The following is a 13257-nucleotide window of genomic DNA, read 5'->3' as shown; positions in this document are numbered from 1 at the left end:
GTAACTCAGGTATTGAAAACCAACTATCATGTTTTCACTAATAAGTGGGGGCTAAGCTATCAGGATGCAAAGGCATAAAATTAAGATAATGCACTTTGGGGACTTGGGAATACTGGGAGGGGGTAAGGGACAAAATACTGCACACTGGAGACAGTGTAAACTGCTCAGGTGACAGGTGCACCAAAATCTCAGAAATCACCACTAAAGAACTCACCCATTTAACCTAAAACCACCTGTTCCTGAAAATCTATTAAAATTTTTTTTAAATGGGCAAAATATCTGAACAGATACTTCATCAAAGATACACAGATGACAAATAAGCGTATGAAAAGATGCTTAACAGCATATCATTGGAGAATTACAAATTAAAACAACAATGATATACCACTGTATACCTACTAGCAGGGTGAAAATCTGAAACATTGACGACGGTAAATGCTGGGGAGAACATGGAGAAACAGGAAGTCTCATTCATTGCTAGTAGGAATGCAAAATGATACAGCCACTTAGAAGGGTAGCTTGACAGCACTATTCACAATAGCAAAGATATGGAATCAACCCAAATGTTCACCAATAACAGATTGGATTAAAAAAATTGGTACATATACACCATGGAATACTATGCAGCCATAAAAAGAAATGAGATCATGTCTTTTGCATGAACATGGATGGAGCTGTAGGCTATTATCCTTAGCAAGTAAACGCAGGAACAGAAAACCAAATACCACATGTTCTTACTTATAAGTGGGAGCTAAATGATGAGAACTTAAATGATGAGAACTTACAAACACAAAGAAGGAAACCACAGACACCTGAGGGTAATGGGTGGGAGCAAGGAGAGGAGCAGAAAAGACAACTACTGGGTAATGAGCTTAACAGCTGGGTGATGAAATAATCTGCACAACAAATGCCCATGATACGAGTTTACCTGTGTAACAAATCTTCACATGTACACCTGAACCTAAAATAGAAGTTGAAAAAAAAAGTAAATAAATAAATAAAAGTAAAAGGCTCATTCACCATGATCAGTAAGTTTTATCCCAGAGATGCAAGGATGGTTCAACATATCCAAATCAATAAACATGATACACCACATTAATAGAATGAAAGACAAAAACAACATGATCATTTCAATGAATGTGGAAAAAGCATTTGGCAAAATTCAACATCCTTTTGTGATAAAAACTCTCAACAAATTAATTATCCAAGATATGTACCTCAACATAATAAAAGCCATATATGATAAGGCCACAACTAATATCATACCCAATGGTGAAAAGCTAAAAGCTTTTCCTCTAAGATCAGGAACAAGTCTCTTGCCACTTTTATTTAACATAGCACTGGAAGTTCTAGTCAAAGCAATCAGGCAAGAGAAAGAAATGAAAGACATACAAATTGGAAAAGAAGAAGTAAAATTGTCTCTTCTCCCAGATTACATGATATTATACATAGAAGATCTTAAATACGCCACCAAAAAACTGTTAGAACTAATAAATAAACTCAGGGAACTGCAGCATACAAAGTCAACATACAAAAAAGCAGTTACATTTCTATACACTATCGAAGATGATCTACCCAAAAAAGAAAGAAAGAAAGCAATCCCATTTAAAATAGCATCAGAAAGAATAAAACACTTAAGAATAAACTTAACCCAAGAGGTCAAAGAGCTGTATATTGAAAACTATCAAACCATAATGGAAAAAATTGAAGATACAAATGAATGGCAAGATATCCTATGTTCATGAATTGGAAGAATTAATGTTGTTAAAATATCCATACTACCCAAAGCAATCCACAGATTCAATTCTAGTGGCATTTTTCACAGACATAGAAAAAATAAACAATTGCAAAATTTGTATGGAATCACAAAAGACTCTGAATAGCCAAAGTAGGTGTACAACCAAAGCAAATGAAATCAGCAATTGCAAAGATATCTGCACTCCCATATTCACTGCAGTATTATTCACAACAGCCAAAACATGAAAACAACCTAAGTGTCTAATCGAAGTGTCTGCCAACAGATCAACGGATGAAGAAACTGTGGTATACACACACACACACACACACACACACACACACACACACAACGGGTTATCATTCAACCATAAAAAAAAGAAAGAAATCCTGTCATTTACAACAACATGGATAACCCTCAAGGGTATTATGCTGAGTGAAGTAAGTCAGACAGAGAAAGACAAACTGCCTGATTTTATTTGTACGTGGAATTTTGAGAAGTTGAACTCACTGAACTAGAGAATAGAATGCTGGTTCCCACAGGCAAAGGTAAAGGAAAGGCGAGAGGTTGGGAGGTTGGCCAAAGGGCACAAACTTTCAATGACAGGTAAGTTCAAGGGATATAATACACAGCATGGTGAAGTGATACATATAAACTAATTTGATTCTGGTAATCATTCCACAAAATATATGTATATCAAATCATCACACTGCACACCTTAAAATCAAACCATTTTATTTATCAGTTATACCTCAATAAAGCTGGGGAAAAAAAGAAAAAAAAATACATAAACCCAGAGGGTCTTATAGCTACCTATTCCCTGGGGACATCTTGAATTTACCATTCCCTAGAACGTCTTAATAGCTAAAATCATAAATTCAGCAAGTTTTTCTCTGAGTGCAACCTCCTATCATTACAGTTTCGATTTCCTTACTGATCTATTTCAGTTCTTACAGGTAAAGTTACCTACCTTAGAAGACTTTTAGTGAGAATTAAATGAAATAATGAGTATCAACAGCTTAGCGCAGTACCTGATACACAGTAAGTCCTCAATAAATCATAGACAAATTTTGATTTTAAGTATGCATTAAAAACAAATTATCTGCCAATACCCAAATTGTCTTCAAACTCACTCTCAACCTCTGGCATTAAATGAAACTTGGCTTTTATTTGACACTACTATTATACATTCCTCCCAATCCACTTAATTGAAGGCCAGACCCCCAGGAATTCCCCGATTCCAGAAGACCCGAGAGATCAGCACAGTCCTTGCTTCTCAAGCACCATGATCTCCACAAATCTTAGCCATTTCTAACACAGTTACCCTACTTTGCAATTATTAGAAATCGTTTCACCTTCAAGATCCTAAATGCTTGAAATTTCCCTCATTAAAATAGAATGCTCTTTCAACTCTCCTACTCTTTTTGAACTAGTTCTTCTTTCTCACTATGGCCATAAATCTTCTAGTACCCTAGTCCATCACTTCAATCTTCTTCTTTGTCTCCTTATCCACAGTGGATGACTATTTGGATAAATTCCCTAGATCTTCTATCATTCTCACTTTGACAACACTCAGCATTGGAGCAACCCCACTGTCTCCTCTTCCCCTCCTATGCTGTGAGCACTGCTGGAGAAAGTCACTACTAGAGCCAACATTAGCCAGGCCCTCACTTCTCAGCAATTATTAATATTTTATTCAATGTCTACTGATACTTTACTGAATTTCCTAAAGCACCTTTTCCAAGCCTATCCCATTCTTAAACTCCTAAAGGCATATTTTCCTCTCAGCAGATGACCTTCCACCCAGAAGATACAGACCTCCAATGTGAGCTCCCTCCTCTACCTCCTCCGTTCTTCAAAATCACTTGGTATCTTCACCTTCTATCTCGACCAACTCTGGCCTTTGAAGCAAAGTGTGTCTCCTCTTTGCAAGGTTAATCCCTCCACTTGTTCTCTTGATTTTACCACTTTCTTACAAAGTATGGTTAAGAGTCCAGGTTCAGGACTCATACCATGTGATTTCAGATCCAGCTCTACCACTTTACTCCTGTGTGACCTTGGAGTTACTTGACCTTTTTAAGCTTCTGTTTCCCTACCTGTAAAAAGTGATTAATATAAATTCCTACTCATAGGGCCAATGTGAAACATAAATGAGAGAATCCACATAAAGTGCTTAGCAAAATTCCTAGCACGTAGTCAATATTCAATAACACAATAGCTGTAAATACTATTATCTTTCCCTCTAGATACCTCCTGGTACATTTTCCCTTGTCTCCAAAGTAGCTCAAGTCTTCTGTCTCCTGTTTTGTTTTTAGTTTTTTTTTTTTTTAATTAAAAGACACCTTTTCTGGAATTTGCTACCCTCATTCCAAGATTTTGTTCCTTCTTTTCACCACCAAACTTCTCTAAAGAGTAATGTATAACTCCTTTCCAGAGGAAGCAAGGAGGAGTGGAAAGACTTTGGAGATAAATATACTGTTTGAACCTAGTTCTTCCACTTAGTGGTTGTATGACCTGGAGCAAGCAGTTTTTCTAAGCCTCCGTTTTTCCATCTGTAAAATGGATATATTACCCATTTCTTAGGGTCATCAAGAGGATTAAACTAAAATAATATATGTAAATCATCTGGCCAAAGTGGGTGCTAAATGAATGCCAGTTCTCCATCCCTTATTCTTTTCTTAACCCCATACAATCTTGGTTGTTCCTCTACCACTCTATTTATCTCTTTAGCTCACTTCAGCTCTTATTAGCATGGTTTTGAATAATCTGACTTCTCTAAACCTTAATTTTCATGTGTAAAATGGTAATAATACCCACCACATAAAGTTGTCTTGAGAATTAGTGAATTAACACATGTAACGTGTTTTAGCATAGTGCCTGGCCTGGAGTAAGCACTTAATAAATGATAACAGCAGCAACTTATTAATGGTGAAATCAAAGGACTGTTCAACTCTCTTCTTCTCAATGAAAACACACTATTCTGGTTTGCTTTTTGCCACTGACCATTCCTTCTGTCTCTGCACCTTCTCCATGAAGCCTCTTTTTACTCTCTTCAAACCAAGTGTGAGCTCTCTCCTTTTGAGCGTCAGAGCACTTTGTACTTCTCTTCAGGTAAGAAACTCCCCTTACTCTGAATCACAGTCATTTGTGTTATATGTGTTATATCTCCACCACTTAATCTCTTCTGTCCTCATTGCCTGGCACTTTATTCATGTAGAACATGTTGACTACCTAATATACATCAGACCTGTGCTAGGTACTACGGATACAAAGGTTAATATAATTACTGTCTTCAAGGAGCTTATAGTTTAGGTAGCTAGAACAGACAAGTAAGTAGTCTATATGTGCAGTGGAATAAATGCTTGGTTAAGAGTGTGCCCAGAGTCCTCTGGGAGCACAAACAAGAGTTATTAAAATAGACTGGCGAGGACCGGGCGTGGTGGCTCACGCCTGTAATCCCAGTACTTTGGGAGGCCCGGGGGGGGGGGGGGGTGAATCACGAGGTCAGGAGTTCGAGACCAGCGTGACCAACATGGTGAAACCCCGTCTCTACTAAAAAATAAAAATAAAAAAATTTAGCCGGGCATGGTTGGCATGCGCCTGTAGTCCCAGCTACTCAGGAGACTGAGGCAGGAGAATCGCCTGAACCCGGGAGGTGGAGGTTGCAGTGAGCTGAGATCGCGCCACTGCACTCAAGCCTGGGAGACAGAGAGAGACTCCGTCTCAAAAATAAAAAATAAAATAAAATAAAATAGACTGGGGAGATCAAGGACACTATTAAACAAGGCATTTTTGTGTTTTGCATATGGGGAGGCTGTACACAAATAGCTGCTGAATGAATGAATGAACTATAAATACAACTAGATAAGCATGGGAAAAGGCACTTTAGGCCCAGAGAAAGAGCACGTAAAAAAGCATGGCGGGGTCAAGCAAGCAGCTCAGTATCGACAGGAGGAGGGTTCCTGAGTGACAAGAGATGAGGCTGGAAAGTCTAGGTAAAATCAGATGTTCTAGACATAAGAGTATGGCCTGACCCCAGAGGGGAGATGATGACATGCCCATAAAATTTTTTAAATGCGGGGGGAGGCAAAAATCAAATTTGCATTTTGGTAGATGTACTCTGGCAACACAGAGGAAAACAGATTACATGAGAGCCAGGCTTGAGGTGGCAAGTTCAGGTAGGAGGTTGTTCAAATAACTCAGATGAAGTATGAGAACCAGAACTGTAGACGCTGCCGACTTAAAACTTCAGCGGAACTGAATTATTCATACTGTATCTCCTGCAAGCCTAACAGAATATTTTACAATTAAAACCCGCTACGTAAATATCTGTAGACTACCATTATTAAACACTACTTAGGGAACTGCAGCAAGCTGCCAGCTGAGTCACTCACTGTACACGGACTCCCAAGTAAAGGCACCTTTCCCAAGCGTAAAACTCGAAAGGAACAGGTTATTCGAGCACAGAAAGCAACAACACTATGTGTAAACCAGCGCACTGCTGAAAGACTATGGGACCTCTCTATCCTGGTCAGTTTCACCCCAAATGTTTCAACAAAGTCCTTCCATAGGGTCATGTGGCCTTGCCCTGTGCGCCGAGACAAATGCCAAGTTTATATATATATTTTTCTCTTTATTGCAGCTGAAGACCGAAACGTCTACTGCGGCTCGTCGCCTGGCCAGCCATTTTCACCCAGCCGTTTCCCAGTTTTGTACTGTGCCACTGTGTAAATCGACAACCACAGGGGATTGAGGGAGCAGCGTCCCAGGCTGATAAAACCCTAATGGGGAAAGGCAGGTGTCTTGAGGCTTCAAACGATAAAGATTGCAATTATCTCAAAACCCACCTCCACCCTGCCCCTTGTTTCAGGGCTCCTTCAGAAGTTAGTAGGATCCCTTTTACAGTTACCGGGATGCTATCGGCACCCACAGAAATTAAGCAAGTTGGTTTTCGCTTACCCTGATGGCCGCCATGTCTACAACCCTTTCGGCCAAGGTTTTCAGACGGAGAGCAGAGAGGGACAAATCAGTTCGACTAGGCTTCCCTTAGGACAGCCCCACCCCGTTACGCCCCTTGCCTGCCAGTTACCGCCTTTTCTCCGCCCTCCTCCAGCCGCCTTGGCAACTGCTGCGGTTTCGGTCAGCTGTCTTCTGGAGAAACTGTTCACCCCTGTGGTTGACCCTCCCGGTCCCAGATAAAGCCTTCCAGAACATTATCAATAGTCCAGTTGGGAGTTATTTTCCTGGGTGCAGAACTTTTAATTATTTTGTTTCGGGCATATGTGATATGTCCAGATAAGGACTTAATACCCAAATGTAGCTGCTTTAATAATTAATTATATAGTAAGAAAAACAACTTATTACCTCTGCGAAACATGGGTAAGTTCATTCATTCTAAAACTAAGTCACGGAGAGCATACTCTGTGCCGGGCAGTTGTTCGGGGCATAGACAAAACATAGTGGCTTCCTCACAGAGCTTATGATTACAGGAGTAAAAGAGACAAATGAGGCCGGCGCGGTGGCTCACGCCTGTAATCCTGGCACTTTGGGAGGCCGAGACGGGCGGATCACGAGGTCAGGAGATCGAGACCATCCTGGCTAACACGGTGAAACTCCGTCTCTACTAAAAGTACAAAAAAAATTAGCCGGGCGTAGTAGCGGGCGCCTGCAGTCCCAGCTACTCGGGAGGCTGAGGCAGGAGACTGGCGTGAACCCGGGAGGCGGAGCTTGCAGTAAGCGGAGATCGCGCCACTGCACTTCAGCCTGGGCGACAGAGCGAGACTCCGTCTCAAAAAAATAAATAAATAAATAAAAATAAATAATAAATTTTAAAAAAGAGACAAATGCTATGAAGGAAAATAAAACAGTATGGGAATGAGGTGGGAGTTTACTGGTTTATATCAATGAGAGAAAGACTCTGATAAGCTCATTTGATAAAAGTCCTGGAGGAATTTAGAGAAGAGGGTTGCATACGGAAGGAACAGCAATGAAAAAGTCCAGTGAGGCTGGAGCAATAATTTCAGAGGTAGCGAAGTAACACAGTGTAGGGGCTTTCGTGCCGCCAAAATAAATTTGGATTTTATGCTGAATAAGATGGGAAATCATTGGAGGATTTTGAGCAAAGGTGTGATGTGATCTAATTTACATTTTTAAAGGATGATTTTGGTGCTATCAGGAGAATATACTAAGGGTATATTGCAATATTCACAACAGGAGCAAGGTCTGCTGTAGGCCTCCCTGAAGGATTCTGAGGAAAGAAGATGCTCATAATATGCCCATTAACAGTCCCAATATTAATTCATGTATTCATTCATTCAATCAACAAATATTTATTATGTGCAAACTATATACTAGGCATTAGTTGATACCTATCACATTTCATACCCAAAACAGATCCTTTTTAACAGAACTGTCCTGTAAATGACAAAATTATTTTAAGAAATAATGATGAAATGAAACTAATAATACTGGCTACAAAAGAAACATTGAGTGACTATTTTCTTTTATTGAACTTAATATAAACATATACATACATATATATGCCAATATAAAAATAAAATGCAAAATAAATAGTACAGAACCAAAAAAGGAAAAAAATGGATCAAGGTGTTTTAATTGCATTAATGTATTTTTCAAAGGAAAAATACTTATATCTACATAGTGGTCTGCCACAGGAATGAATAATAATATTACAGTTTCTGTTTTTGAGCCTTAACCTCTGTGTATTTGTCAATAATTTCATCCAAATTTAACATTTCTGCATATTAAATAAATGGTATACCTAGATTTGTCAAGCTAACTTTGTTCATAACTGATTGATGCACACTTTTTATTGATTTTAATATCAGTCAGGTTTATTTCACAATAATCAACAGGCAAATAAGAAAAGTCTTAAAATTGTGAATAAGCTTAGAATAAATTTATAACAATCTTATTTCCCAAAAATTTCAGGAATTTCAATAACACCCATGTTTTGTTGTTGTAGTTGTTGTTGTTGCTTCTTTTCCAACTTTAACTTTTATTTTGGGTTTGGGTACATGTGCCGGTTTGTTATACAGGAAAATTGCATGTCAAGTGGGTTTGACATACAGATTATTTCCTCACCCAGGTAATAAGCATAGCACTTGATAGGTAGTTTTTCAATCCTCACATTCCTTCCACCTTCCACCGTCAAGTAGGCCCCAGTGTCTATTGTTTCCATCTTTATGTCTATGCATACTCACCATTTAGTTCCCACTTATAAGTCAGAACCTGCAGTATTTGGTTTTCTGTTCCTGCACTAGTTCACTGAGGATAATGGCTTCCAGCTCCACCCATGGTGCTGCCAAGGATATGATCTTATTCTTTTTTATGTTTTTGATGGCTGCATAGTATTCCATGGTATATATGTATCACATTTTCTTTATCCAGTCTACTGTTGATGGGCATTTAGGTTGAGTCAATGTCTTTGCTAGTGAGAATAGTGCTGTAATGAGCAGACCCATGCATGTGTCTTTATAGTAGAATGACTTATATTCCTTTGGGTATATACCCAATAATGGACTCCCTATTCAATAAATGGTGCTGGGAAAACTGGTGAGCCATAGGCAGAAGACTGAAACTGGACCCCTTCCTTATACTATAATAAAAAATTAACTCAAGATAGATTAAAGACTTAAATGTAAAACTCAAAACTATAAAAACCCTGAAAGACAACCTAGGCAATGCCATTCTGGACACAGGAACTAGCAAAGATTTCATGACAAAGACACCAAAATCATTGCAACAAAAGCAAAAACTGACAAATGGGATCTAATTAAACTAAAGAGCTTCTGCACAGCAAAAGAAACCATCAATAAACAGATAGCCTACAGAATGGGAGAAAATAATATCCAGCTTCTGTAAGGAATTTAAACAAATTTACAAGAAAATCAAACAACCCCATTAAAAAGTGGGCAAAGGACATGAACAGACACTTCTCAAAAGGAGATATACATGCGGCCAACAAGCATATGAAAAAAAGTTAAATATCAGTGATCATTAGAGAAATGTAAATCAAAATCACAATGAGATACCATCTCACACCAGTCAGAATGGCTATTATTAAAAAGTCAAAAAAATAACAGATGCTGGTGAGGTTGCAGAGAAAAGGGAACACTAATACACTGTTGGTGGGAGTGTAAATTAGTTCAACGATTATAGAAAGCAGTGTGGCAATTCCTCAAAGAGCTAGAAACAGAAATACCATTCAACTGAGCAATCCCATTACCGAGTAAATACACAAAAGAATGTAAATGGTTCTATCATGAAGACACATACACACATATGTTTATTGCAGCACTATTCCCAATAACAGACATGGAATCAACGTAAATGCCCAATCACTATAGACTGGGTAAAGAAAATGTGGTACATATATGCCATGAAATACTACACAGCCAAAAAAAGAATGATATCATGTCCTTTGAAGCAACATAGATGGAGCTGGAGGCCTTTATTTTAAACTAATGCAGGAACAGAAAACCAAATATCACATGCTCTCACTTATAAGCGGGAGCCAAATGATGAGAGCATGTGAACATAAAGAGGGGAACAACAGACATTGGGGCCCACTTGAGGGTAGAGGGTGGGAGGAGGGAGAGGGTCAGAAAAAATAACTATTTGGTGCTAGGCTTAGTACCTGGGTGATGAAATAATCTGTACAACAAACCCCTATAACACAATTTTACCTATATAACAAACCTGCACATGTACCCAAGAACCTAAAATAAAAGTTTTTAAAAAAGTAAATAAATAAAAACAATATTAACTTTTTCAATCCAAAAATAGAAAAAAATTCATAATTTCCTTACACTCATCTTTTCCTATATGAACAATCAAGAATAAATCAATGGAATGCATTCAATGCTTTTATGACCTTATCCACAAATATGGAAGCTTATGACTGGCATGTTTTTGTCAACTAAATGCTTTGACTTTACGTAAGAATGATCTATAGGACATGGAACTATTGTGTATGAGAATAAAAAGAAGTGTAATTCTCAGAATATGTCTATGTGATGTCCCAATTAGTGGCAGAAATATTTAAAAAGTCAGAAAAAATATATACTGGGCTTGAGGCAATGAACAACACAGACACAATCCCTGGTCCCAGGGAGCTTAAGTATATTTTGACTAAGACAGTAAATAAATTAAGATTATTTTAAATGCTGATAAATACTACAGAGAGTGACTATAGTATTTAGTCTCTGGTTTGGGGTGAAAGTTACTTTAGATTGGGAATACCTCTTGAAGGAGCAGATGTTTCAGCAGTCTTGAGTAAAACGTGAGTCTACTCATGTTAATGTTTGAGCACTCCAAGCAGAAGGAACAACTAATGCAAAGACCGTGAGGTGAGAATAAACTTACTGGAGCACCATAAGTAAGGCAGAAAGTGATAGAAGAGTCTGGCAGGAACCAGATCTATATAAAGAATTTGGATTTTCTTTTAGGTTATTTATTCTTAAATATTCCTTGATTTATTATTGTAAGTTTATCAATTGCCACTAATTGCTTTGGGCACAAAAGGCAGCTTTGTATAATGGAAAGTATTAGCATCAAAATAAAATCTTGGCCTCTAAAGGCAGAATCTTGAAGGAGCTGAGCCAGACCAGATGTTCCAAAAGTTAGTGTATTTGGGAATCACCTGCATAATTTGATAAAATGAGAATTCCTGGATCCCACCCTTGGATATTGGTATTTATTTGTTCTGATGTAGGGGCATGTCTGAAGAGTACCCCAGGTGTTTCTAATATGGATATTCCTTGGGCCACATATTGAGAAACAAATCAAGTCCACTTATACGGACTACATAATTTAACAATGGTATGTTATTTCTAGCTCTGACACCCTAGGATCATGTAAGGGCTCTTATTTAATGGTATTTGGTGATCCTGGGCAACAAAGTATTCTTGTGGACACATGAAATCCTCCTCTCCACTGACTTTTATTTTCACTTCACCTCAGCTATCCGCAAAAATGGCCATAGTTTTGACTCTGTTATCACTAAGAAAACTACATTACCTCTGAAATTTTAAATTCAAACATTATTTTTTCAGACTTCAACTATTTTCCCTTGAGCTCTTTGACCCACACATTTTATTGTTTTCCTTGGGCTCTCTAGATCTTAATGTCTATATTAGCTATCTTTGGATGCACAACACTTTACCCCAAATTTAGCAATATAAAAAACAAGCATGTATTGTCTCACAGTTTCTGTGGGTCAAGAGTTCTGAAGTGGTTTAGATGGATGATTCTACTCATCTCTCATGAGGTTGTACTCAAGATATCAGCCAGAGCTGCAGTTATCAGAAGGCTTGATTGGGGTTTAAGGATCCACTTCCAAAATGGCTCATTTGCTTTGGTGGTTGTTGATAGGAGCCTTCAGATATGCCATGTGAATCACTCCATAAGGTTGACTGAGTGTCCTCATAGAGCTCATAGAGTTAGTAGGCTCTAGCTTTAAATGGAGGAATACCAAAGACTTTAAATACATATTTTAAAGCCACCATCACATCACCTTTTTCACTATCTGTTAGTCCCTTCTGGCCTCATTTTATTTTCTAACCAGCCTAGACCTTGTGGTACATCTCTTCAACCACTTTTTTGCCAATAAACTCATCTACCCAGTCTCACTGGAAAAGTTTCATTTTACTCTTCGAAAAAACCCCTACATTCAGGATAAATATACCTAACCTTAGGCAGCTAATTCTCCTCTTCCCTATCGTGGCTATGTTATTTTATTATTTTTTATTTGTATAAATTTAGGGGTACAAGTGCATTTTTTATACATGGATATATTGTGTAGTGGTGAAGTCTGAGCTTTTGGTATAACTATCACCCAAATAGTATACATTGTATCCATTAAGCATTTTCTCATCCCTCACACCCCTCCCACCTCCCACACCTCTGAGTCTCCAATGTTTATTATTCCACACTCTATGTCCATGTATAAACATTATTTAGCTCCTATTTATAAGTGAGATCATGTGATATTTGACTTTCTAAGTTATTTCATTTAAGATAATAGCCTCCACTTCCATCCATGTTACTGCAAAAGATATGATTTTGTTCTTTTTTATGGATGATTAATATCATTAGTATCTGCCCACCTCAGCTTCCCAAAGTGCTGGGATTATAAGCATGAGCCACTGCACTTGGCCTCAATTTTTTTTATCTTTTGAAATAAAAAACTTTTTGTTTAATAGAGTCTTTGTATTTTTTTATAAACAGCCTTTTATTTTATTTTATTTTTTATTTTTATTTTGTATTATACTTTAAGTTCTGGAGTACATGTGCAGAATGTACAGGTTTGTTACATAGGTATACATGTGCCATGGTGGTTTGCTGCACCCATCAACCTATCATCAACATTAGGTATTTCTCCTAATGCTATCCCTCCCCTAGTCCCCCAGCCCCTGACAGGCCCCTGTGTGTGATGTTCCCCTCCCTGTATCCATGTGTTCTCATTGTTCAACTCCCACTTATGAGTGAGAACCTGCAGA

The 13257-nt window shown here is 38.1% G+C and overlaps 1 protein-coding gene across 2 annotated transcripts in view; it reads right to left on the bottom strand.

Moving 5' to 3' along the window:
- Nucleotides 1-6745, bottom strand: part of APOOL (apolipoprotein O like) — an 89439-nt gene extending 82694 nt beyond the window's left edge. For both annotated transcript variants that reach the window (XM_017029272.2, NM_198450.6), the window contains exon 1: nt 6695-6745. In XM_017029272.2, the coding sequence (XP_016884761.1) occupies nt 6695-6709 (15 nt within the window). In that variant the 5' untranslated portion in view covers nt 6710-6745. The remainder of the gene's footprint in view (nt 1-6694) is intronic.

This window comes from Homo sapiens, chromosome X (genome assembly GCF_000001405.40).
Source record: "Homo sapiens chromosome X, GRCh38.p14 Primary Assembly".
NCBI lineage: Eukaryota > Metazoa > Chordata > Mammalia > Primates > Hominidae > Homo > Homo sapiens.
The sequence above is the reverse complement of the archived record's forward strand: the minus strand, read 5'-3'. Positions and strand labels throughout refer to the sequence as shown.